Below are 22113 nucleotides of genomic sequence, written 5' to 3' on the forward strand. Positions count from 1 at the left end.
TCTTTTTTCTGAGGCCATCTTAATTCACTGCCGTGGTTCATTTAAAGTCGTATTTTAGGGGAAAGGAGAGAGGGTGTTTTTCTGTTGTTGTTTTTAAAGATAAAGTAAGGGATTGATTAGAAGACTTTTTCTTCTGTAGTAGAATCTACAGATCAGCCCCTAGTACGCATGCTCCCTTCTTTTTGCCAACAGAACCCAGATTTCAGCTCTGGCCTCTCATCTAGCATGAGTTTCCCAGGCCCCCCGGCAGCTGGCTATGGGGCCAAGTTCTTTCCCAGGGGATTTAAGGATAAATTATGTCCTGAACTTATGGGTCTTACCCCTCTAATGTTTCAGTGTTGACACCTCTATATCACCCAGACACAGTGCCAGGAACCTGCAGGGACTATGAAGACAAGGGCAATGATCTAGAGAAGCAGTCTGTGACCCTTGATGACCTTATGAGCTGGGCCACCGGCCCACCATGAACCAGCTGCCTCTCTCTGGATGGCCACATAAGAGAAAAGTTAACCCACTGAATTTTGAATGTTTCTTTGTTACAGCAGCTTAGCCTCTACCCTAACTAATACATTCTTTACTACAGTAAAATTGTTAAAGTCCTAAATTCTTTAAGTGTCTTTGTTACAAATTATCAGCCTTCCCCTTCCCTTCACCCCCAAACTCACCACTCTGTAAGTCTCCTCTGCTCTGGGCAGCACACTCGAGAATCCTGTTACAGCTACTTGCAAAGTTTTTGCTCTTTTACATCCTGGCTGCTAGAGAAGCTTTATTTCCCTGCAACACCTTAAAATGTACATGTAAAACAGTAAATGGCTTACTACTGAAAACACAGCTTACCCTTGAGAAGTTCCATTTTTTCATGCCTTGATCTCTCTAGGTCGAAGAGTATGTCTTGGTTATAGAAATTCACGTCAGAGCAGCGAAGTGGCTTCTGTTTAAAGCAGAATGTTTTCAGGAGTGACGTGTCAACCTGGAGGATCTTGGGATCCACTCTTGCCCTTCCTGGCCCCACCTGCAGCTGTTCTGGTTACACCTTCAGGGGTGTGAGAGGATTGTTACTTGATGAGAAGCACCCCACCAAGATGAGAGGTGGGGGGATTGCATAAAGACATATTTCCTTTCACGTTAAAAGAGAGAAAATAAAAGAGCAAGGGAAATCACAGTAATATAATTTTTTAAAATCCTTGTTAGGCAGCACTTCAGGCAGGAGAAAGGTGTTGAGAAATCAAGTAAACAATGACAGCACACCAGGACTCCCAAAAGGCTAGGTGTTGCTTGTGGAAGCCGCCTGAGAAACAGAAAGGACACACTCAGGATAAAAATGAAATAAAAAGTGGATCATGGTGGTGAGAAGAAAGGAAATTCCACCTCTGATCCGCATCTCACAAATGCATAAACTGCTTTATTGTTTTGCTGAGAAGCTCACAAAATGCATAAACCACTTTACTGAAACAAAGACTAATACCCTTGATGGCTCCTGCCACCTCTGCCAGCCCTGCTCAGAGGGATGAGAACCTTCCATCTGCCCTTGGCCCATCCAGACCCTCAACCAGTTTGGGTCAAGATAGCCTGCAAAGTTCTGGGCTCCCAACTGGCCAGCCAGTGGAGTCTGGAAGCAATTCTGCAGCCGTGACATCTAATGCATATGGGGTGAGTCTCACATACACCCATGTCCACTGAGCAGCAGCTTCCCCCATGACCCTCGCCAATCTGGCAAGTAGAAAAACAATGGCTCTGGGCACGGGTTCAAATCCCAGCTCTGCTACTTCCCAGTTGAATGATCTTGGACAAATTACCTAACGGTTCTCTGTCTGTTTTCTCCCGTCAATTCACAAGGCTATGTTAAGGATTAAAGAGATGGTAGATATTAAATACTTGCCCCTGTCTGTGAAATTTCTTTCCTTCTTTTGTGGTCTTTGAGTTCATAAGGCATCTGCCCTGCCCTGAGGCCTGGGTCCTTTACCCCCACAACCCCATTTTCCCGATAGCTCACTTTGCTCCTGTTCCAGATATCCCTTCAAGACTTGGTCCCTGCATCCACCCCAGACCTCTGTGAAGGCTGCCTCCCCTCTTCCCCCACAGACATCCCTGTTATGGTCAGCCTTACAGCTAAGGACACAGGCCATCAGCCCCATCCCATCTCCACAGAGGCTGTGATGCCACCCTTGCCTCACTGAGGCCCAGAGGGGCTTGTGCTGAGCAGGGTGAGCTGAGGAAGGTGCCCAGGCCTCCCCGCTACATGTCAGGGTCCCAGACCTGTTAGCCAGCTTCCAATCCTGCCTTTGCTGCTCTCAGCTGTGAGGCCCTGAAGCCCCTCCCTGCTCTGGACTGCTCCTTACGTGAGATCAATGCACATGCTGAATGTTTGAGCCAGCTTGATGGAGGGGCTCAGATCCCCACTCCTAGAAGAGCTACATTTGAAGTTCCCATTACTTCAGCGAGACACGAGTTTCTCTTATGCTGTGCTGTGACTCTTGGTTTTCTTTCAGTGGGGTTCACTCTGGGGTTCCTTCTTGGTTTCTGGTGGCCCTTGCTCCCCTCCTCAGCCTCTGCTGTTGCGTGACTCATTGCGCCCACCTTCTTCTCCATGATGTCCCCCATTGAGGCTAGGACAATCGTGGCTCGTCAGAGCGATGGCAATGGTCTTAAAGCAGAATCAGGAGACAACGAGTGCTTCTTCCACTCTGGATGAGACTGAGGACTCATTCCCATTTGAATGAGGTGTCACTCAGATGAAGCACCATCCCTGCCTTAGTGGGGGAAGCATGCAGTGGAGAGGGGGACACTAAAGGACCTCCTGCTAATTGCTGCTGTCAGGTATTCCCAGGAGGAACAAGAGCAGGCTTCAAGGGGCAGGGTGGAGCCACCCCCTGGCCTGTCTGCACAAGTGTCCCAGCTCCCCACGTCCTGGCCACTTCCTCCCACTGAGATGTGCTTCATGCTAAGACCTTTCTCAAGTCTGTCAGTCAATAATGAGTGAGCACCTACTATGTGCTAGGCACTGTGCCCTTTGCTCCCCTCAGAAGCCCCACAGGTGTCCACAGACCTTGGTGAAAACCTGCCAACCAGGTGATGATCACAATCTTCTTGCTGCTTCTGGTTTCATGCAGAACTCAATAACTTGCATTCCCAGAGTATTCCAAATGCGTAGTACAAAACGGCTGATCTTGGCCAACATTTTGAGGGGTTATGGAAAACCAAATTGAGACCTGGGAGCTGAAGCAACAGTGCCACGATCCCAGCCCTGGGCTCTTCACTCATTCTGTCTCTGCCTGACATGCTGGCACCAGCTGAGAGGAGCTCCATGTCTCTCCAATTCTGTGCCACACAGGATGTCCCAACATCCCATCTGGTTCCTATCTGACTGTTCAGGATCTGGGAGGCAAGTCACTTTGCAGGAAGTCAAGGCTGTGAGCAAGGATGTGGAGGGAAAAGCCGAGGTGCCAGCTGGGAGCTGAGACCAGACCTTCGCCTCGGAGAGCAACTATCTGGGACAACGCAGGCTCCAATGTCAGTCTAATTACAGGCCTGTCATTATTCATTAGTCCTGTGGAGCGGCTGGTAGGGTGGAAATGAAAGAAGCGTGAAGGGAAGCTGGGAAAGCGGGTATGACCTCAGCCAGGAGGGCCCTGGGGAGAGCAGGGGTGCCAGCCACGCTGACCCAGGCACCCCATACCTCTCATTCCCCACCTCTCTCCATGACCTCCACTCCCCCTCAGCACCCAGAGAGTAGCCAGGCAACATCTTGGTGCACAAGTCCTCTGTTCCTCTCCAAACTTGTGCTCCTGGGTCCTGAGGTCTCTTTCCCCAACCCCCTTTAATTAGGGCAGTTCATTCCTTCACAAATATTCCTTCAATCCCTACTACTTGCCTGCCATTTTTCTAGGCCCTGGGATATAATGGTGTTGGGGTCTGATTTTAAGTGGGGAAGTCTGAGGAAGTGACATTTGAGCAGGGCCCTAATGTTCGGGAGGGGGAGACTAGACCAACAGAAGTGCAGGTGCAAAGGGCATAGGGCAGGCTGCGATGCACTTAATCTGTGAAGGGAAGCCCAGGGATGGGGCAGAATGAGCTAGGAAAGAATGGGAGGGAAGCAAGTCAGGTCACACACAGCCGGCAGAAGGTGAGGTACAAGGGTAAGAACAGGGAGACGGACCACAAGCCGGTGCAATAGTCCCGGTGTGCGATGGTTTTGACTTAGACTGGGTTGGTGAGGAGCGATCTTTCTTAGAGTTTATATTTCAGATACTCTGAACTCAGCTCTCACCACCTCCCTTAGCAATGGCTCCCCACCCCTAAAGCGACGCTGGACCCATCATTTCACGTGCCCTCATTCCAAACGTCTTCCTCATGTGGCTGAGGCTCACACACATGCAACTAGCCACCATCATCAAGGCTGCCAGGCCATCCTCAGGATGGGGGTCCAGCCCTGCAGTGAGGCTGTCTGCCCCTCCTTCCCACTTCTTCACATATTTAACTCAAATGACGCTTACAGAAAGCAACCCGAGACTGTGTCAGCACAGGGCTACCGTTACAGAAGAAGACATCGCAGTTTACCTGTGACAATGAAGAGTAGGTGAACTCTGTGGCATTTAACTAGATGGTTGTATTAAACAGATCATATCACTTTTTTCCAATTATTTAGACTTTTTAAGCAGTGAGCAGGAACTGGATGGTGGCAGAATTCCTGAGGTGCCCACAGGCAGCCTCGCTTCTGGTTATAGAGGAACTAGGAAGCCCAACTGGAGGACTTAGATCCTTTGTGTGTGTGCCGGGCCCACCAGCCAGATGCCAGGCTCCTGAGCTCCCGCCACGCCCTTCATCTCTGTGTCCTCAGCGCCTGCCATAGGCAATGCTCTCACAGTGCCTGCCGAACCAATGGAGGAATAAATGGAGAGATGACATGAGTGCTGCTTTGTGACCCCACCCCAGAACAGTGCCAGGAACACAGGAGAAAGTGAATTGAGGATGGTCAAGATGATTACATTTCACCCATCCTAGTCCCACCCGTTTCAGGGGTCTCCTCTCTGCTTCCTAAGGTGAGAGCCAACCAACCAATCAGGGAAGGGAAGGAGGCTTAGGTGTCAGGGGCTGAGAAAATGTCACCATTACCCTTTTAAGGCAACAGACTACCATGCTTCAACAGGTCCATTATGCGGAGGCAAGCTTTGCTGGGCCGGGCATAGTTTGGACAGTTTTCAAATCATAGGGTGACTGCCTGCCTGGATTGAGCACAGATCTGGCCCTCCTGCAGGATTCCCAGCCCTTGGGCAAGGAGAACGATGGGAAGCAGGCCTTTGGGGGCTTCTCTGTTCCAATAACGATGCAACAGTAACTACTAACATCCAACTGGCCCTCTCGGGCATAAGACGCTGTCATATACGTTCTTTCTTTTGCCTCTCATTGCACCCTGGAGGGAGACAGACAGTGTGGATTGCCCCAAAGGTCCTGCAAGAAGTAAGAGCCAAGACCAGGTTTGAGCTCTGGTTTTCTGAATCCACATTCTCAGCTTCCTTCCCCACTCCACTGAGCTCCCCAGTAACAGTGTGGAGTTCAGAGCAGGAGGAACCGTCAGTGATCATTGATTGTGAGCTCATGATTGCACAGTGGGGGCCCAGGAGGGAATGGGGCCTCCTGCACCTACACCCACCCTTCACACACCAGGCCACCTATGCCTATTTTCCCAGGGGTTTTTGGTCTCTTGAGATTCTGTCCTGCTATCACCATTTTACTTTCTAGACTGTGTTTCCTCTTCACCTCTAAGACAGCTGAGGCGGTTTACAGCTGTTTACTAGCAGTCAGATAGAGGAGGAACTTAAGTGGAATATAAACTATTGAATTAAATTATCCTCTTCAAATGCCACCTGGTACTCACTCTACCTGAGAATTTCAATCAATGCTGGTAACTTCCTGCTCTCTAATGGAATGCACCAGACAAGTTTTTTTGCCTGCCATTTGAGCTGGGCTGCTGCTATGGCAGATGCTGTTACAGGGGACAGAGATGTTCGTGTAGACCGGCATGACAATGCGTCACCTGAAAGCATAGCTTTCTTGAGCTCCCAGCAGTGCCATTAGCAGGTTGGGAAATGGCTTCACTCCTCAAGCCTGGGTGTTAGAGGCAACCACAGGTGGGTCAGTGAGGCCCTCCAGGAGATGGGGGGTGGAGTTCTGTACTTCAGGACACCTTTTAAAGACTCAAGGAAACAGTGGTGTGGGAGAGGAAGAGTAGTGGGGAAGGAAGACAGATTCCCTCCTAGCACCAAAAAATATGGGTAAAGCTCATAACCATACATACAACACCCACTAATTACAAGTCAAAGGGATGGAACGTTGTGCCCTCCGTATTTATAAAACAGAATGTCCCTGGGCTGGGAGTTCCTGGGTTCAAGTCCTGGTTCCAACATTTATTAGCCATGCTGTCAGAAGCAGGTCTCTTCTCTGAGGCTCCATTTCCCTTTTCTGTAAAATAGCTTCCCTGCCTACATTATGGGGAATGCAAAAGCGTTTTTGACAACTTCCAAGTGCTGTACAATTGTGAGTTACGATATATTGGGCGGTGGGAGGGGCCCTTTGAGAGATATCCCTCCGGACCCCCACAGACCTCTTAATCGGCCTTTGGGTCAGGTGAAGCGGGGCCAAGGCCATTTGTATCTTGGAAGGAGGGCTCCTCTGGGACGGCCATCCTGGAAGTGACCTCTGGGAGGCAGCAGAGGAGGTGCTACGGAGCCGCCACAACTGGAGTTCACAGTCCCGGGATCCTCAGGGGACAGGGAAGGGGAAGGAAGCATTGAGACTGAGTTACTGGCACTGTTTCATAGATAGGGAAGTCAATGTGGGAGTTCCACAGGGCCTGCTGGGCCCGCGGTTGTGGGTCACCACCACAAAGCTGTGCCCTGATGCCATTCCTTCCCCAGGGCTTGGGCCTCTTCCTTTCTGCCCTGACCCTGGAAACATGATCCTTCCAAGTTCACTCATCAGCAAAATTTTCCATCCTCAGAACGGGTTTTCCGGACAGGACAAAATATGCTTTTAAGACCTTCTTCTCAAGGGCAATAGAAACTTCCTTACTTACGGCACAAGGAAAAACGAGGCAAAAATAATTACTGAGTGCCTACTATGCGTCAGCATTGTGCCAGCCAGTTTATGCACACTAATCTCATTTACACCACATAGTAACTGGCTGAAGTGAGTTAGCCCATTTTACAGATGAGGAAACTGAGGCACAGGGAGTTAAATAACTTTGACAGGATCACACAGGTGGGTAAGTGATAAAGCAGGGACTCAAACCCAGAGTTCTCTGACTCCAATATGCATGTTCTTTCTACCATGCTAATTACATAAACATGACAGAATGGTCAAGGAGGCAGAGCAGACTCCACAAAGACAAAATGACAAAATATTTGTCATTTCTTCATGCTAGAAACATTTGAATTGCTAAGAAACAGCAAAGATACAGAATAGTTGTAGGACCCAGACTTGGAGTTCTTCATACTAGTTTCCGCCTCCATTTTGGATCTCTCTATAACCAGCTTCCTGTGGCCAGTCTGTTCTTCATTGAGAATCCTTTTGCTTTTGTTTCTGTGATGTTGCCTTTGTTGAGAGTCCTAACGGAGCTCTTCCCAAGATAGCTCTCTGCTTATCTTTCACACCCTGGTCTATGCTTGCTCCCTTAACTCTTGGCAAGCCCATGCTCCTCCAGGTTTTTTTTCACTAGCAAAATTATTTTCCCTTCTTCCTTCAAAACATGATGCTAGAGCTCCAATCTTGAGCTGGGTGCTAGAAAAGGACCTCAGGGCGATAGTGATTACCAGTTAGCAAGCACTTGCTACTGGACAGGATTCATATATGCTGAATGTTCGCATGCAGTATCTCATGTAATTGTCTGAACATCCTTAGGGTAGGTGTTAGTATCTCTGTTTGATGGATTGGGTAGCTGAGGCCCAGAGTCACTGAGTAAGCTGCCCAACATCACACAGACAGCCAGTTCTCAATCTCAGCTCTGTGTGGCCCAGAACCTGTGGCATCAACCCCACCCACAGGGGATGGTCAGGAAGATAAACTGCTTCCCCATCCTCTCTACTGTGGATCTTGATTCTTACTATAAGTTAATATAGATTCTCAATATAATTTAATATACCAAATAGCTGACAGTGGGACTCTGCTGGGAAGAAGAGAAATATGTAATACGTCTGCTAGGATCCTCAGTCCATTTGAAGAGACTAACACATGAAGTGCACTCCATGACCTCCCTTGGGTCCTGGGACATTCTCGTGTGTTCCTTCCCACCTCCCTAATGTTCCCTTTGATCTCCTCCTCAAGCTGCCCTGTTAATGCTGGTGTTCTATAGGGATCCACCTTCAACCTACCTCTCTTCTCCCCCCACATCAGGGCTTAGAGATTTGAATAACCACAAGCAGTGTGCAGAAATTCACCCAGCAGGCTGAGCATTAAACAATAGCTGCTTGTACAGCAACCAAACAAAACCTTTGCCTGGCTACAGGCCTTGAACCATACCCAGCCTGATAAAGCGTCCAAACAAAACAGAACATTTTGGCAAAATCCAAACCATGCTCAGAGCTGCAGGGTTGTTGCTCTTATTTCTATTTTCCCGGGACAATTTCATCTATCGCAAGTATTTGTCTATTATCTACTTCCTCCATGATGATAACCTCTGCACCTGCTGTCTTCAGCCCAGGTCTCTCTCCTGGCTTCAGACTCTGTGCATGTGAGGGCCTGCTGACATCTCCAGCTGCCCCTAGATCCAACTTGGCCAAATTTGAATGCACCATCCTCCATTTCTCTCCATCCTCCTGCCTGTATTTATTTCCCCCCTTTCCCATCCCACTTTCTTACTTTCTTGCTTGGTCTCTCTCTCTCTCTATCCAGCCCTCCAGTACCTGCCCTAGTTCAGGCTGTTGCCCTAGTCCCCTTGAATATTGCTGTAGCCTCCTACATGGGTCCCACCGCCCCCCATCCACCCTTCTCATTGCAGCCTGAGTCACTGACCAAAAATAAAAATCTAGGGCTACCTTCAGCTCAAAATTCATAGCCTGTGGGAAAAGACACAAACCCCTTAGCTCGATATCCAAGCCCGCCCCAGCCTGGCAGCACATACGTCTAGAGCCACCCCAGGTTCTCACTTCACTCTCTGGGCACAATCAATTGTGTGTACTTGTCCTACATAGACCACAGAGCACCACGCTCCAGTGTCTCTAGGCCCACTGCTGCCTCTGCCTGGAGAACCTTCCTTTCCCACCCACCCACACTCTGCCTTTGCCGAGCCACTGCTATATATTTTGAAAACCTACATCAGTGCCACCTCCTCTGAGAAGCCTTCTCTGACATCCCCCAAGTCTGGACCAGGCACCCCTCCTGTTGAGGGGGGCGGCGCACAGTATCTAGTACCATGGCACAAGATTTCAACATTGCTTGTTTACTTGTCTGTGAACCGGAGGGCAACCGCACATGGCAGGCACTGGAGTTGTCCATCCAAAACCTAGGACCTTTTCCTGATTTTATTCAGGCAAGAAATTGCTCAGTCTTGAGGATGATCGTTATTTTTTTTAACTTTTTGAAATTTTATTTTTTATTGATACATAATAGTTGTACATACATTGGGGATACATGTGATCATTTAACACATTTGAATAACTTGTAAAGATCAAATCATCATACTCAGGATATATATTGCCTTAAATATTTGTCTTTTCTTCATGCTAGAAACATTTGAATTGCTGTCTTCTAGCTCCTTTGAAATATACAATAGATAATTAGTAGTTAACCTTTACTGTGAGCCAAGTACTGTGCTAAGCACCTTATGTACATTAAACATTTAATCCTTACATCAACCTGTGAAGTATCATTATCACCATTTTACAGATGGGAAAACTGAGGAACAAAAGGTTAAGCTCCTTGCCCAGGGTTATATAAATCAGAAGTGATGGAGCCATGATTTGAACTGTGGCCATCGGGCTCCAGAGCCTGTGCTCTTAGTGGACATGATAGACTCACTGCTTTTCCCATGAACAGCACATCACAATTGGCCCAAGGCAGCCATTTATGGCATCCCATTCTGGTTTGCCTGTGACTGGTCTAGAAACAGGCATGTGATCCAGATATGGTCACTGGGTTATAATAAGAAGGCACCTGGGCACTTCTAGGAAAGGTGTTCTTCCCCTATGGAAAAAAAAAAAAAAGAGCAAAGTGAAGGTCCCTGTTCTGTCTTGCTTCTGTCTTTGAGCATTAGGATGTTGTTGGGGGCTATGATGGCCATCTTGCCATCTGAGGGGAGATATCACTGACCCACCAAGAATGGTTCTTGATGGCACTGCTGAGCTGTGGACCCTACAGCCTCTAAGGACCACAGCCCTGGACTTCTTTCTTATTTTAGATGAGATAATGAATGCCTGCATTGTTTTGTCAGAGGTGTTTAAACTGGAGCAACTCCATCTTGAATAGAGGCTGGGTAAAATAAGGCTGAGGCCTACCGGGCAGCATTCCCAGACAGTTAGGCACTCTAAGTCACAGGATGAGATAGGAGGTCAGCACAAATACAGGTAATAAAGACCTTGCTGATAAAACAGGCTGCAGTAAAGAAGCTGGCTAAAACCCACCAAAACCAAGATGGCGATGAGAGTGACCTCTGGTCATCCTCAATGCTATACTCCTACCAGTGCCATGACAGTTTACAAATGCCAAGGCAACATCAGGAAGTTACCCTATATGGTGTAAAAAGGGGACGCATCAATAATCCACCCCTTGGTAGCATATAATCAAGAAATAACCATAAAAATGGGCAACCAACAGTCCTCAGGGCTGTTCTGCCTATGGAGTAGCCATTCTTTATTCCTTTACTTTCTTATTAAACTTGCTTTCACTTTACTCTGTGGATTTGCCTCGAATTCTTTCTTGCACGAGATCCAAGAACCCTCTCTTGGGGGTCTGGATTGGGACCCCTTTCTGGTAAGAGTTTAGGCCACTACTGGCTGAGTATTGTAACTTGCAGCCAAACCCATACACCCATCCAATGCCTAAACGGTGCCTGGCACACAGTAGGCCCTTCATAAAGGGCTGTTTAATGAAGGAAATGGAAAACCACGTGAGCATATGTGGCAAAACAGGATGAACTCAAAGCACTACATGAATATGAAGAAAGTTTCATTTTCTTGAGCCTCAGTTTCCTCATTGAGGGGGCTGGGCTCAGTGGGTTCACTTAGGCACCCACTTTCTCTATTTTGAGTACAAGAAAAGATGAAGTTTCAGGTAGGCAGGACTGACAATAAATGTTATGGGAGAAGAGACCCTGGGAATCCCTCACAACTGCACACTGCTTATCCTTGGCAAGCTGAGGGAGCCTGTCAAAGGGCATCACTTTCTGCGGGAAGGTTCAAAGAAACACATCTAAATAGAAGAGAGTATGATAAGGGACTCGCCCAGGGGCCACCCTCTACAACAAAGAACTGCAAAGACCTCTGCTCTCTTGGCCTTTGATTTAACTCAATACAATCTGAAAACATCTGAACGACTTTCTTTGTTCACTATAGAGTCCTGAGGGCCGCCCAGAGGCCTGCCTGTTTATCCACCACAGGCAGCTGGCAGTAACTCAGCAGGCGCAAAGCACACACCTTGCTCTGTCAGATCAGCCACTCAGATAAGGCCACGGGGGTCACTCATGAGTCCAGGGGCATTGGCGTGGGCTCTAAGGCACCTGATGGGGCAGGCCAACCATTGGCCAAGTAATAAGGACCTCTGAGTCCTACTCTGAGGCTTCCCTGGCTCCCTTTTACTGTCCCTAGTCATCCTTTGTGGGACCCTTTAGGAAATTATACATTAGTTCAATGTTCACTTCAATTTCTCAACTAAAAGTCTGTGTTCTGCACTCAGAAACATCTTAGTCAATTGCATGTGAGTATGAACTGAAGTCTTTCTCAGGGCTATCTGCTAACTAAATCTCATCCCCCCAAGATGCCTTTAATGTGTTTGTCTTGCAAGCTTTGTACCAGTTTTTAACCATTGTTTACTTAGGTTTTTACCTATTTTCTAGTTCCCAACTAGACTATAAATTTCTAAAAGACAGAACCCACATCTTCTATCCATACTTAGGATTCAATTATTCATTCATTCATTCATTTATTCAACAAACATCTATTAAGAGGTGGGCTTTGTGCTAGGTCTGAGCTTTCAAAAACGAGTAAGACATAGCCCCTACTTTCAAGATATGAAAGTCTATTTAGGGGAGACAGACTGTCGAAGCAGAGAGTTAGGTCCCCTCCTCATCTTCATCCTGGGGTTCATGTTCCGAGTGTCACAACCCCACTCAACCAGCCTTTATTTGATCTACTCTGAGTAACTCTGTTTCTTGCAATCAAGAGAAACCAATTACGGCATCCTCTAGGGTAAGAAATGCTTAAACTGACTCTTAAAGGATCAGTATAAGGGAAACGAGGGCATGGGGAGGATATTCCTGGCAGAGGGCACAGCACGAGCAACAGCATGAAGGCCAAGAACAGCTTGTTATGGGCAATGCCAAACACATGTGCATTCATTTCTATTTTTGATCCTTCATTGTGGAATGAAAGGCTTTGTCCACAGTAAAGCAGTCCCAAACACCAAAAGACTGATAAAGGAGGTATTTTGGGACTTGCGTAGGGAGGAAAGTCCCTTCCCTGAGCCTGCAAAATCACACTGAGTAAGCAGCTGTCTCCAAACGCCAGTGCTTAAAACCAATCCTACTGATTCACAGCAGCTTCTTTGGTGGCCAAAGATGCACGAGAGAGAAGGAGCAGCCCAACTGCAATGGCCAAAGTCCTGGGAATGAGAGAAATGTCTCAAAAGAGAGAATGGCGAGGTTGAAAGGGACACTAAGAGATTACTTCATTCATTTGAGTCCTGAAGGCCTCACACCAACGTGGGAGAAATGCAGACCTGGAATCCAGCCTTCCATCCCTGGAAAATCCCATGGAAGGTACTTCCTTCTATGCAGAGAAATACCATTTCCCCTGCAATTTGGTACTTACACATAAGAGGAATACAGACTCCCAAAGCTTAGGAGAATGGGGAATATTAATATGATACAATGCTGGGTTCAGTCTACCCTTTAGCTTCCCAGAAAAGGCTGGTTCCAGCATGCAGAGCCAATGACACATGCTCTAAAAAAATCCAGAGCATCTAAACAAGGCAATGTTATCCCCCTTCTTCTGCCAGAGCTCCACTGGGCTCCATCTAGCCCTTCATCTCTCAAGCTCCATTTCTAGGAGCCCACATCTTGATAAATGACTGGTAAGAGTCACTTAATCCCACAGAAATTAAGTGACCTACTGTGTGTAAGACTTTGTCATTGGAGAAGTGTGAAAAGCTCAGATTTTCTTACTTGGGACCCATCCCAATCCCCCGATGCCAAGGGCTTCAGATGTGGTTAGCAAAGACACCCTTGACCCATAAGGACATTCACTCCAAGTTCTGGCTTCCAATCAGCTCAGGGGATTGTCTTTCCATGACCTAAAGTGGCATCCTGCTTGCCTCTCATCTATCAGGAGCCACAGACCTGCTTTGCTTTCTAAAAAAACTGGTGCCCCTGTGCTTACCTTCAGCTTTAAAGATGGCTACTTAAGGGCAAAACATGCTCACTCAAATGTAAGTTCAGTGAGGGCAGTGGCTTTATCTTGTTCATTATTGAACCCCCAGAATCTAGGACAGTGTCTGGCACATTGTTGTTGTTCAATAAATGTCGAATGAGTGAAAGCATTTGTTGGCTGCCTTCCCCAATAGACTGTAGCCTTGTGGTTACCACTGTATCCTCTGTTTAGAACAGCATCCAGCATCTTGTAGGGACTCAACAAGTATTTCCTAAATGAATAAGTAAGTAGTAGGTTACTGATTTTTTTTGACAAATAATTTTTCTTACAATGTATTCAGTATTTATTCAACTAATTATTGAGTTTCTTCCTCATGCCAAGCCCTGAGCCAGGCTTGGAGATCCAAAGATGCTCAGGATAGAGTCCCTGCCTCTAGATAGTCACAGTCTAGTGGAACAGATAAATATGAAAACAAATAAAGTAGAGGCCAGGTGCAGTGGCTCACACCTGTAATCGCAGCACTTTGGGAGGCCAAGGCAGGAGGATCACTTGAGCCCACGAGTTTGAGACCAGCCTGGGAAACATAGAAAGACCTTGCCTTTACAATAAAATAAAATAAATTAGCCGGGTGTGGTGGCACATACCTGTAGCCCCAGCTACTCAGAAGGCTGAGATATGAAGATCACTTGAACCCAGGAGATTGAGGCCTCAGTAAACCATATTCACACCACTGCACTCCAACCTGGGTGACAGAACAAGACTCTGTGTCAAAAAACAAAAAATAACAAAGTAGAAGCCCTTGAATCTGGCAGGACTTAAAACTCAAAGTTTGCCAGAAAATTGAAAATATCAAAATGGAGAATCATAAAAATTCCTACCATGCTGGACAACTTCCACTTGCCCCCAATCCCCTCTCCTCCACCCTCTGTCTGCTCTCTACACTGGGGGTTTCAACTCTGTGGACTGTATCAACGGACTCCTGTTCCTTCTTCCTTCTTGATGGGTTTGTCCAATAGGAGACACTGGTAGAAGCTTGCAGGAAGAAAGAAGGGAGAGGCCAGGGCATTTAATTCCCTGTTTCCCCCCTGCAGCACCTTGGCACACTGGCTGCCTCCCTCATCCCGAAGCTCAGCTGCTGTCAGGAGCCCTTCTGCATTCCCCCAACTTGAGGTCCTATCCTGTGGTTTTCCTAATTTCTACCTACAGTTTTATAAACAATCCTTTTATTTTATTAAACCCTCTTCAAAGTATCTAATTTGAGCATGTAATTTTTTTCCTGCTGTGATTCTACTAACATATACCCCTTCAACATTTTTTCAACTTAAAAAATATATATACACAAACACACGCACACACGTACTAATTCACCTGTTCCTTAAAAGGCCAAGATCTTTTCTTTGGTTGTGGGTCTGCTAGTTGAATTTCCATGTCCTCTTTCATTCATAAACAACATCCATGATGTGTAGACTATGAGTTGCCTATTTCTTTTTATTTAAATTGGAGTGAGAATTTAAGGACACTTGCTAATGCAATTCAAGTGCAGAATATCTTGAGATTTTTGCAGGCTGTTTTCTAATATTTTACAGTTGTTCCACCCACACCTAATTTTCCAGCAGTTTGATTTCATGACTCACATTTAGGGAGCCTTTTTTCCCTTTGAAAATCTCAACATTGACTTATTCATTCATTTCTTAATCAACATCCATTCATCAACTCCTACTCGTCTCAGGCTGTTGGTTGGAACATGAGGCACAAAGATGGGGCCACCATGGTCTCTGTCTTTGAGTTCAGTCTTGAGGAGATACACATGTGACCACACAATAGCATCTCATGAAAATGAGCTTGCTCAAACTCCTTCATGCATCAGCTTTTCCATGTGTCTTCCTGAAGCATTCAACTTTTAGGTTGTATAAAAACAACTCTCACTCTTTTTCCCCTGTACTTCATTGGTCCGTGCCACACTCAGTTAGATCATGCAACTACTATAACAGGTAGAATTAGGCTAGGCAGGTTTGGGAGCTCATGGTTTGTGTCTAACTCAATAGGTAAGAGCAGAAGTGATAGCTAGAAGCCGGTCGACTGTAAGGGTTCACTGGGCCTCAGACATTGATTAGCATGCATCACAGGGTGAGCAGAGAGCTTGCCTTATGCCAGAAGTTTGGGCTTTAAGTAGATGCTATGGTATATATGTTTGTCCCCCCAGATTCATATGTTGAAATCCTAACCCCTTTAAGTGATGGTACTAGGATGTGGGGCTTTTGGAAGTGATTAGGTTATGGGGCCAGAGCCCTCATGAATGGGATTCATGATCTTATAAGAGAGGCTCAAGAGAAACCCCCTCACCCCTTCCCTCTGTGAGAATACAGCAGGAAGGCACCATCTATGATCCAGAAAGTAGGACCTCACCAGACACTGAATCTGCTGCCACCTTGATCTTGGACTTCCCAGCCTCCAGGTTGTGAGAAATAAATCTCTGTTGCTTGTAAGCCACCCAATCTATGGTATTTTGTTACAGCAGCCTAAATGGAATAATAGCAGCAGAGGTTACTTAAGAGAAATGCCACTACACTTAATGTACAGAGTGAGAGAGAGGTATACTAGGATGCATCACATACAAGTGCTAAAATGTATGGATGGCCATTGTTTTGGACTGAGCTCCTGCAGTAAGCCTCAAGAGACCAGACCAAATCACAATGGAACCACTCATGCTAGGTACCGCAAAATCAAACATACCTTTAAGATGAGCTGGTAGGAAGAAAAAAGAAGAGAAGAGAGAAGAGAAGAGAAAAGAGAAGAAAAGAAAGGAAAGGAAGGAGATTTACAGCACCAGGCAGTCTACTTGAGCAGGCATGATAAGGAAGTCCTCTCTGTGAACTCTGTAACTTTGAAATGACCAGTCTGCTTTTTGTTCCTCGGTTTTGGTTTCTTCAGCATTTTCTGCTTGTAAAGCCAACTGCCTCTACTCAGGTCATCAGAGCTGATATCTATTTTCCAGAAGGGATGCTGCCTGATTCATGAATTGCTAATAAAAGCCAATTACACCTTTAAACTCAATTTGTTGAAATTGTATCTTTTGACAAATAATAAGTTTCAAGACATAGAGAGGAAGCTTTCTCAAAGAAGGTGACATGTGAGTTGGTCTTAAAATACCAGCAGGAGTTTGGCAGAGGAGGAAGAGATTCCAAACTTAGTGACAAGCATATATAAAGGTAGTGACAAAAGGCATGTAGATAATGTGTACGCCTATGACTTAAGTGCATGTGGGCACATGAGCCCTAGGACACATATCCAAAGACAAAATGTTCATAGTGGCCCAGCCAGTTTGAACAGAAAAAAAGCAACTAGAAGCTACAGTGGGAGGATGTCTTTTTAAATGAGGAACGATTACATTCTGGAATACTATACAGTAGTAAAAATGGATGAATTATAGCTACATAAAATACCATGGATAAATCTTAAGAATAGGGAAATTGATTAAGATGGCAGAATTTGTACAGTATGACTGCACTTCTAAAAAGTTCAAAAATGTGCAAAACTGAATGGATTTTGTTGTTATGGGTTTAATAAAAATGGTAAACAGCAAAAAGGCCAGTGTGGCTGGAGCAGAGAGAAAGGCAGTAAGAGTGGGAGGATATGGTATCAGAAACATGGTGAGGCAGGCACAATGGGGTTAGGGCCCACTGGCCATCATAGGCCTTGAGGTTTCCCCTGAGTGGAGTGGGGAGCCATTGCAGGCTTTTGAGCAAAGGAGTGACCTGATCCAACTAATGTTTTCAAAGTCTGTATGTATGTCTAAATTGTGTCCATCTATGAAACAAATATATTGCCTACATGATAAAACATATGTAACAAATTAGACATATCACACACTAATATACCAAGCCATAAGCCATTCTTAGGGTGAAGTTCTTTGTTAATGACAGTGGATATACATTCACATTTCATATAGCTTTACTGATAGTTTTGAAATGCAGAAGCTGGCCCTACCACTGCTGTTGTAGTCTCATCACATGGCTGACAAAGGGTTTGTCATGGGAGTAAGAAAATGCCAGTTTAGCTATTTCTCACCATCCACTTGGGCTTGCCTTACAGATACTGTGTTCAACTTGTGGTTTTGCTGTAGGGATATGTTTAAGCAGTTTGTTCTTTTGTGGGGGTTAGTTTAGGTGACATTTGGTAAGGTAATCTGCAGATATTCATCAGGACACCCATATAACAGCAATGCACATGACTGGAAGCAAAGCCACAGGCACCCTTCCTCTCCCCAACTCTCCACCCCTGTCTGCATCTCTGAGGATTCCATGGAATAGAAGGTGAAGTCCTTGGACTGGATGGTTCCTATGGTACCTACAGGCCTATGAACATCAGGTCTGGAGGAGAAAGGCATGTGCAGACAATGCCTTGGTCAGAGGGATAGGTACAAAATCCTCCAAAAGGGATGGTTTAGAGCTGCCATTCAGTACAGATGTCACTAGTCATATGTACTATTATTGAGCTCTGGATGTGGCTAGTGCAAATTGAGATGAGCTTTAAGTGTAAAATACACCTGCATTTCAAAGACCTTGTTAAAAAGAACAGCAAAATATCTCATTAATTTTTTAAAAAGTGCATTTTTAGAGTGCATGTGAAAATAATATTTTTATACTATTGGGTTAAGTTTAATAAATTATTAACATTAATTTTACCTGCTTTGTTTTTGCCCTTTTTTCCCTATTATTTGTTTAATGTGGCTACTAGACAGTTTTTTATTGCATACATGGTTCATGTTTGTGGCTCACATTATATTTCCATTGAATAGCACTGGTCTAGACAGAAAACCAGTTCCCTAAGTTATGGAAAAGTCCAAATTTATCAACATTATCAGCACCTTTTGTTCCAATTGGTCTTGCCCATCATGTTCCCAATAATGGCCCCATTAGGTAAAGAAGCCTGTGGTGAATGCCTTTATGGCACATTGTGAAGGTGGTGCCCTGTGATTCAGGAAGGCGATGACTAATGAACTAGGGCTCTGCCATGTACTTGCCAAGTGACCTCAGAAACATCACCGGCACATTGCTTTCCTTCCTTGTCTGTAAAAATGTGAAGGAAATTAATCATATAATATTCCATCTTTCTGGCTCTGGGTGCCTCCTTCCAGAAGTATTTGCACTTTTAAAACGGAGTCTCTAGAAGGCAATGCTCAACCCAAATTAAGAAATGCCAAATGGCAAAACTTCAGGCCCCAGTGGAGGAGGAGTTTTGGAGTAGAGAAGATCCTCCCGGGTCCCTGCAAATCACAGCTCAGATTCTATGTGAACCTGATAAACATATAGGAACTCACAGGACAGACTGACCCTGTGAGAAGTAGTAGGCTGGGATGGAGATTCCAGATGGGTCTTCATTTGTACCACCAAGCACATGCTGTCGATTTAAGCTGCATGGTCAGGCTATTATTTCATGAGCACATCCTCCTCTGGCAGACACACACACACTTCCATAAGTGCAAACATCCACATGCACACACAATGAGACAGCAGAAAGTGCTTAAAAAAGCAGCCTCCCAGTCCAAGAGGAAAGTATCCCTCACTTAGAGAGACAGAGGGCCAGGAAGAGGTCTCCAGGAGCCTCAGGAAGCAGGTGGCACGCTGCCAGGTCATGCATAGGAGCCTGATCCAAGGCCAGTGAGGCAGAGCAGCAGAAGCCGCAGGGCATCCAGAGACAAACAAATAATGAGCTGGCAGCTCCAAGAGAAGTGGCAAAGCTAACTGCATACCTGACAATGGTAAGCAGTTAGGCAAAATGGAGAGTTCCAGCAGGGAAAAACCTACAGTTATTACAGTGGGCCTGGCTCTGAAAAGTGAGGGGAAAGGGCACTTAAGAAAGGAGAGATTCTTCCCCAAAAATAGCAGCTGTGAGATGGAGAAGGGATGGGTGCCCACATTTGTGCATTCACTTCATTCGACGCCATGTGGACAAACAGATCATTTACAATGCTTTGAACACAGACAGATAAATTAAAATGAAGTTCCCCTTAAACCACCCTTATCAATCCAAGCTTTATCCAACTCCAAATTCTACCTCCTCCAGGAAGCCTTCCTTTCCCAGCAACTGCAGTCATAAATGGTCTTGCTATGAATTTCCAAAGCAATTTAAAGCAGATAGTCAGGGCCAGATCTAGGGGGAGAAATCAACTGAACACCTCACATACAAAAAATCAACTTAATTTAAAATTGTTTATTTTTTGTTCAGAAAGAAAACATTCACCTCTTTTTTAAATTAAAACAGTAAGCATCTAATTTTATGAAATTAGTACTAGATAGAATATATTAAAGGGTAGGAGAAAGACAAAAAGAAATGAGATGGGAGGAAAAGGAAGAGAGTAACAAAATAAGTGGAAAAGGGAGCAGTAGATGGAGGAGAGAGAAAGATAGACAGGAAGAGAGAAACAATTACATGAACGAAGAACTAAAGAAGAAAGAAAGGCTGGAAGGACTTGCTGTACACTCAGAATGTCACCTTTAAAAAGAATATGTATTCTGCTATGGACTTTTTCTAAAAATGTTCATTAGGTCAAATTGGTTACTCGAGTTGTTTAGGTCTTCCATAACCTTATTGATTTTACATCTAGTTGTATCAATCACTGAGAGAGGCATGCCGGAGTCTCCAACTATGATAGCATGTTTTCTGTTTCATCCTCCAGTTCTGTCAATTCTTCCTTTATTTATTTTCAAGTTTTATGGTAGGATGCGTATATGTTTAGAATTGTAATGTCTTTTGGTGAATTGACCCTTTTGCTCTTCTGTAGTATTCTTCTTTTCCCTTGTAACTTTCCATGTTATGAAATCTATCTTTTCTGACATTAATCTAACCACTTCAACTATGTTTTTAAATTATGGTAAACTACACATAACATAAAATTTACCACCTTAGTCACTTTTAAGTGTTCAGTGATGTTTAGTGGTGTTAAGTATATTCACATAGTTGGGCAACCAATCTCCAGAATGTTTTTATCTCGCAAAACTGAAACTCTGTACTCATTAAGCAACATTTCACCCATTTTCTTCTCCCCACAGCCCCTGTCAACAACCATCCTACTTTCTTCCTCTATAAATTTGACCATTCTAGATACTGTATACAAATGGAATTATACTGTATTTGTCTTTTTTGACTGGCTGATTTCAGTTAGCATAATTTCCTCAAGAGTCAACCATGTTGTAGCATGTGTCAGAATTCCCCTCCTTTTTAAGGCTGAATAATATTCCATTGTGTGGCTAGGCCATATTTCATGTATCTATCCAGCTGTCTATGCACATTTGGGTTGCTTGTACCTCTTGGCTGTTGTACATAACGCTGTGAACATGAGGGTACAAATATCTCTTGGGAACTGGTTTTCAATTCTTTTGGATCTATACCCAGAAGTCAAATTGCTGGATTGTATAATAATTCTATTTTAAATAGAACCACCAGACTTTTTCCATATTGGCCACACCACTTTATATCACTTCAGTTATCTCTTGATTACTGTTTGAATGGTACATATTCTCCATTATTTACTTTTAAACTAAACCTATTTGTATTTTTATATTTAAAGTCTGTCTCATAGACAACATAGAGGTGGGATGTTGTTTTGTTGTTATTTTCCACTCTGACACTCTCGGTGTGTTAAGACCATTTATATTTCATGCGATTTTATGTAATTTAACTGACATGATTGAATTTAGATCTATCGTTTCATTAGTTTTCCCTCTCTGTTTCTTGCTCCTGTTTCCCCTTTCCTGCCTTCTCTTGCATTATTTGAATATTTTTAGTATTATATTTTAATATACCTTTTAACTTTTTAGCTATCTCTCTTCATATTATTTTTAATGGTTTCTCTATAAAGTGTAATATACATGGACATTTTTTCACAGTCCATTTAGAATTAATAGTTTACCACCTCAGGCAAAATATAAAAGCTAGGAATGTCCATTTTAAAGTGGCATCCAAGTGTAAAGGCAAGGTAAAGTAGAGTGTGTACTGTTTGTTTAGTACTGAAGTGGTGAATATGAATGCATACATGTTTGAACATGCATATAGTATTTCTGGAAGCCCACGCAAGAAATCCTTAGTAGTGACTGGCTCTGGGGAGGTCAAGGGTTGGAGGGAGGACAGGGATGGGAGCAGAGTTGTTTCTCATGGTAAATCTCCTTGTATCTTCATTTTTTTTTTTACCAAGTTTACCTATTGCCTTCTCAGAAAATAATTTGCAGAAAGCTTTATCCATTTATTATTCAAATATATCCCTATAAATGTCAATAGTGACACAATTGTTGAAGATTTTACAAAAGCTCAAATTCTAAAAAATTTAGAAGTTCTGCTTTTAAAAGAATAATCTAAAGCAATTGAAATTATACTTCAGTGACCACAGCAATCTCTTTTAAAGAGTAAGATGAAGTTAAATTAAAGGTCCCAGAATCTCTTTATAGAGTCACTTCCAGCCTTTCTCATTTCAGTGGATGACACAACATCTAAGCTCCAGTTATTGGTCTTAGTGAATCAGGGCTACCCTATTCTTCTTGCC

General features: G+C 44.6%; 1 long non-coding RNA gene across 1 annotated transcript in view, besides 2 other annotated features; it reads right to left on the reverse strand.

Annotated features, from left to right (window-relative positions):
- The window catches only part of LOC101929555 (uncharacterized), a 144395-nt gene that overhangs the window by 9497 nt on the left and 112785 nt on the right, over positions 1-22113 (reverse strand). The window contains exons 2-3 of the long non-coding RNA NR_110873.1: positions 14219-14316; positions 838-1033 (exon numbers count right to left, since the gene is read on the reverse strand). This is a non-coding gene — a long non-coding RNA (uncharacterized LOC101929555). The remainder of the gene's footprint in view (positions 1-837; positions 1034-14218; positions 14317-22113) is intronic.
- Positions 11119-11630: an enhancer, noted in NCBI's record as "OCT4-NANOG-H3K4me1 hESC enhancer chr6:40867240-40867751 (GRCh37/hg19 assembly coordinates)". NCBI's record gives its function as "activates a minimal SCP1, AML or CMV promoter by ChIP-STARR-seq in naive H9 embryonic stem cells {active_cell/tissue: H9 hESC(naive)}" and the evidence as "EXISTENCE:reporter gene assay evidence [ECO:0000049][PMID:30033119]".
- Positions 11631-12141: an enhancer, noted in NCBI's record as "OCT4-NANOG-H3K4me1 hESC enhancer chr6:40867752-40868262 (GRCh37/hg19 assembly coordinates)". NCBI's record gives its function as "activates a minimal SCP1, AML or CMV promoter by ChIP-STARR-seq in naive H9 embryonic stem cells {active_cell/tissue: H9 hESC(naive)}" and the evidence as "EXISTENCE:reporter gene assay evidence [ECO:0000049][PMID:30033119]".

Source organism: Homo sapiens, chromosome 6 (genome assembly GCF_000001405.40).
Source record: "Homo sapiens chromosome 6, GRCh38.p14 Primary Assembly".
NCBI classification, from domain to species: Eukaryota; Metazoa; Chordata; class Mammalia; order Primates; family Hominidae; genus Homo; species Homo sapiens.